Source organism: Homo sapiens, chromosome 2, assembly GCF_000001405.40.
Source record: "Homo sapiens chromosome 2, GRCh38.p14 Primary Assembly".
Lineage (NCBI taxonomy): Eukaryota > Metazoa > Chordata > Mammalia > Primates > Hominidae > Homo > Homo sapiens.
Genome location: NC_000002.12, coordinates 27,072,789 through 27,078,035, shown reverse-complemented (window position 1 = coordinate 27,078,035; position 5,247 = coordinate 27,072,789). Strand labels below are relative to the sequence as shown.

At 49.3% G+C, this 5,247-nt stretch overlaps 1 annotated feature.

The window, feature by feature from the left end:
• Positions 5,174 to 5,233: an enhancer, noted in NCBI's record as "active region_15487". NCBI's record gives its function as "activates an Ori minimal core promoter by ATAC-STARR-seq in GM12878 lymphoblastoid cells {active_cell/tissue: GM12878}" and the evidence as "EXISTENCE:reporter gene assay evidence [ECO:0000049][PMID:35858748]".

Sequence of the window (5,247 nt, the reverse complement as noted above, 5' to 3'; positions counted from 1 at the left end):
GCTGCTGGGCCAGGGAGGAAAAGGTCAAGGACTCCACTGAGGCAGATGGGAAATCCACAGATGACAGAAGAGGAAGAAAGGGCCTTGTGTGGTGGCTCACGCCTGTAATCCCAGCTCTTTGGGAGGCTGAGGTGGGCAGATCACAAGGTCAGGAGTTCGAGACCAGCCTGACCAACATGGTGAAACCCCATCTCTACTAAAAATACAAAAATTAGCCAGGCATGTTGGCACACGCCTGTAATCCCAGCTACTCAGGAGGCTGAGGCAGGATAATCGCTTGAACCCGGGAGGAGGAGGTTGCAGTGAGCCAAGATCACACCACTGCACTCCAGCCTGGGCGGCAGAGCGAGACTCTGTCTCAAAAAAAAAAAAGAAGAAGAGGAGGAGGAAGAAAAGCACCTGGCAATGGGGAGCAGGCTTCTGTCAAGCGGTAGAGGGCACGTGGGCAGGAAGAGAAAGAACCTTTCTTAAAGGGATAAATGAAAATGGGTCCTGGGCTTGTTTTGGTGATGGTCAGGCCATAACTGGATGAGGGTGGGGGTGAGGTAAATCGGGACCTATCTTTAGAGCACCAAAGGAAGTCAGTCCCTGGCCTGGAGGCAAGTCTGATAGCTCTCAGTGACAGGCAAAGAGCCGTCAGCCTGACCTGAAAGTTCCACCTGCGCCACCTTGATCTAAAAGCTTGGTCCCCGTCACCATCTGACCCGCAGCTCTTGACCAGGGTCTCCAGCTGGTGGGATGCTTGGGAGAAAGAAACAGAAGCACTAGACAGAAAGGAGACAGGAGAATGCTGTGTGCCAGGCACTGCGGAGGTGCCCAGGTAGCAAAGGCATAGGTAAGACCCAGACGCTGTCCACTAAGGAGCAACTGAGGTTGTTGGAGAATGGGACACAAGCCCCCAAACAGAGAACCGTCACAAGCCAGGACAGAAAAAGTGCCAAGGGGCAGGACAGAGGGATGATGTGTGTTCCAGCTAGGAGGAGGGAAAAGACAGCTGGCTGCTGGAGACAGTCAGAGGAGAGGCTGGAAAAGACAAAAGCTGAACAGCATTGGGGTGGGGGCGGGGGTGGGGGGCAGGAGTCAAGAACAGAGACAAGGCAAGGAGAGAGATTTCAGGCTCAGGAAGAGCGGTCTGCCTCAGTCTCCTCAGCTGTAACACAGGAATAACAGGACTCTCCATCCCACTTTGTGAGGATTAAGTAAGTCAGTGCATGTAAAGCATTCTAGAACAGTGTCTGGCAAATGGTAAATGCTCAATCAATGTTAGCTCTTTTTTTTGTGTCAGGAAAAAATGGGACCGAAATTCAGAGAGGTAGATTGTGGACAAATTAGGGAGAGGCTCAAATGACTGGTTATGAGGTTGTATTGCAAGTTTTTGAGTAGAAGCATATACACATACACGAAAGAAGGTATTGTGGGTGAGAGCGCTGAATACGGTGTCAGAACACAGGCAATGTAGCCCCAGCTCCTCCTGTCACTATGACCCAGCAAATCCCATGACACCACTGGGAGTCTATGTGTCATCTAAAGTCCCTTCCAAATTCTACATTGCAAAGTGATGCAGACTTGGGCTCTGGTGGTGACAGTGACCATGGATAGGCAGGGAACTTTGTGACTGCCTGAGTAATGAGGCTTGGTGACTGCCTGAGTAATGAGGGACCAGATGAAGGGAGACACGAGGGAAGATTCCAGCATTTGAGCCAGGATGGGGAAGTCGGGAAGAGAGCAGGTTTGGAGGAAAGAAAAGTGATCGTAGTTTGAAGATACTGAATTTAAGATGAGAGTAACACATCCTAGTGGAAACCAGTGTCTAGGATTGTTAGCAATGGTGGGCCACTGATTCTTCCAACATGTGCAGGGCAATAGGTGGAAGCCATGAGAATGAATGCCATCAAATCATCAATGTAACTCTGAACCATCTTGCCTCTGATGTCCTATGACCCAGAATGTGACCTTGATGGCTAAGAGAAATGTTTGTGAAAAGACAGGGTCAGGCGGGGTGTGGTGCCTCACGCCTGTAATCCTAGCACTTTGGGTGGCTGAGGTGGGAAGAGCACTTGAGGTCAGGAGTTTGAGACCAGCCCGGCCAAATGGTGAAACCCCATCTCTACTAAAAATACAAAAATTAGGCCAGGCACGATGGCTCATGCCTGTAATCCCAGCACTTTGGGAGGCCGTGGTGGGTGGATCCCATAAGGTCAAGAGTTCGAGACCATCCTGGCCAACATGGCGAAAGCCTGTCTCTACTAAAAATACAAGAATTAGCCAGTGTGGTGGTGTGTGCCTGTAATCCCAGCTACTCAGGAGGCTGAGGCACGAAAATCACTTGAGCCCAGGAGGCGGAGGCTGCAGTGAGCCAAGATCACGCCACTGCACTCTAGCCTGTGCAACAGAGTGAGACTGATTCAGAAAAAAAAAAGGGGGGTGGTGGTTGGTGAAAGTAAATGCTGGAACAAACAGAAATGGAAATTTGTAGTTGCCCCTTAGAGCCCTGGGGATCAGCACACAGGGAGATTTGAAGGAAATGTTCACAGGAGATCCCGATTTCAAAGAAGTTTTCGGTGGAAGGTTGCAGCTTTGTCCCTGGTCTCTAGGCTCTGGCTCTGGCCCTGGCAGGAAGCCAACCCACTTCCCCTCCAGATTGCCCCAGCTGCTGCTATGGGTTTTCTCTCTCTGCTCTTCTCCCTCTCTTCACCCTTAGGAAGCCTCTGGCAACCTGAAAAGTCACCCCAGCCATCTTGTCACTGCCCAATTGTTACCCATTCCCTCTCCTACCCTCTGAAATTCAAAAATCTATTGTATAATTTAAGTGTATCCAGTGAAAAATGTTGGCTTTGAAATATAGTTGCAGTAGGTTGCATTTCATTTGCCTTTATGTAATTAGGAGACGAGACCTAGGAGCTGTCATGAATGTTTGTGAAATCACAAACATATCAGTGGCTCTGAGTTCACCAGGGAGGATGCTTCCCCTTGCTGGCTTGAGTGGGCAAGCAGGGTGCAATGGAGCCTAAAGTTAGAGTGCAGTGGTAGTGGTGATGGTGGCAGTGACATGCTGGTGGTGGTACTGGCAGGCAGCCATAAATTTCCAAAGCAATTGGTAAGAGTTCCTGACCCCCCAGAAAGCTAAGTTGCTGGTGGCACTAGGACATGATCTATTTTACAACCTCTCCAAGGTGGGTAATTTCCAAGCATCTAGTGCCAATTGGCCCTACATGGCAATGAACTCATTCATTCAGCTTCACTGACTGAGCAAGAGTTCATGACCAGGGTCAGGACAGCCGTGGGCACCAGCAATAAGGAGCATTTTATGTCTAGCCTCTCTGTCAGAGGACTGAATATTGGGAGGGAAAAAGGGGGAATAATATGATTTGGGGCCTGGCACAGTGGCTCACGCCTGTAATCCCAGCACTTTTGGAGGCCGAGGCAGGCGGATCACTTGAGGTCAGGAGTTGGAGACCAGCCTGGCCAGCATGGTGAAATCCTGTTTCTACTAAAAATACAAAAATTACCCGGGTGTGGTGGCACACTCCTGTAATCCCAGCTACCCAGGAGGCTGAGGCAGGAGAATCACTTGAACCTGAGAGGCAGAGGTTACAATGAGCTGAGATCGCATCACTGCACTCCAGACTGGGTGATAGAGTGAGACTCATCTCAAAAAAAAAAAAAAAAAAGTGATTTGGGCCTTGGGTCATGCCAATCCACATGGGACTTCAAGTTTGTGGGGAGTCTTGAGCAAAAGCCCACTTTTCTCCAAAGAGATGCACTTTACTTTTCCTTTCAGCTCTTCCTCCAGGTTTAATACTTTAGTAGCCGACCTCCCTGAACCCAGTTCCCCTTCTCCCAGGTCTTGTTGCTTTCTCACTCCTGAGCCTAATCCTGGCCTCATGTCCTTTCCTTGAAAATGTCACACTAATCACAGAGATTGAGCTCCACAAGTGCCCCCCAGTCATTTCCCTCCACATCCTCCCAAATCCCCCCAGGATGAGGCTGTGCCTGTCTCACTTCCCACGTAGTTTTTTTATCCAAGCTTGGTTCGAGATTTGTCAGTTCTTAGTTAAGTCTAGTTCAGTCTCATAGACTGTTTTTTGTTTCAGTTCTTCCAGGCACTGGGCCAAATGACCCATCCAAAGCTGATAAAGACCCACTGACCTAGGCACAGGAAGTTCTGTGAGGTGAATGAATTTCTGGGTGGTCCTAAAATAAATCCTTTCCTTCTTGTGCCTAACCCTAGGACAACCTACTGAGTCCACAGTTTGACCTGGAACATGGAGTGGAGGTAGGAGGAAGAGGTGACACTGCTCTTTCACCAGTTTCTAGAAACTTGGTGAAATTTTACCTTCTGGGCCTCAGTTTCCTTCCTTTTTTTTTTTTTTTTTTTTTTCCCTGAGACAGGGTCTCTCTCTGTTGCCCAGGCTGGAGTGCAATGGTACAATCTTGGCTCACTGCAACCTCCGCCTCCTGGGTTCATGCAAGTCTCCTGCCTCAGCCTCCTGAGTAGCTGGGATTACAGGCATGCACCACCAGCTAAGTTTTGTATTTTTAGTAGAGATGGGGTTTCACTATATTGGCCAGGCTGGTCTCGAACTCCTGACCTCAGGTGATCCTCCCGCCTTGGCTTCCCAAAATGTCAGGATTACAGGTATGAGCCACCATGCCTGGCCAGTTTCTTTCTTCATAAGATGATTTTGAAGGCCCCTTTCGGCTCTGATAGTCTAGGATACTATGCACCTGGGTCAATTGGTTTTAAGCACTTTCAAGGCTTGCTTTCCTGTCATTTTCAGTCTAGAAAGTTTAACTTCCAGGGCTGGCCTAAAGGTAGAGCTTATTTTTAAAAGGGAGGGCTAGTTCTGATTCAACAGTAGACCTAAGTGTTTGGTTGGACTTGGATCTGCTTCAAATTTCCAGGAGACATGAAGCATAATGACGTGTAATCCTTAAGACCTAGACCCTTACTCTCCCAGAGAGGAGCTGGAAACAGACCGCTTACTGAGGGATGCATAAGGGAGTACCTGTCTGGGGTTTCACCAGTGTTGTGTGGAGGGGACTCGGCTTTCTAAATATCAAGCTTCTGGGAAATATTGAGTGGGGGCTGGTGGTGAGGTGCGGGGAGGCCACGGGAACTACAGACTACTAAAGGCAGGGATTATGTTTAGAAGCCACGGGGCTGAAGCCCTTGGGTGACAAGCTGTTGATGGTCCCAGGCCCGGGAAGGCTACTTTGGGATAGTGCATCCCCAGCTCAGTGCAC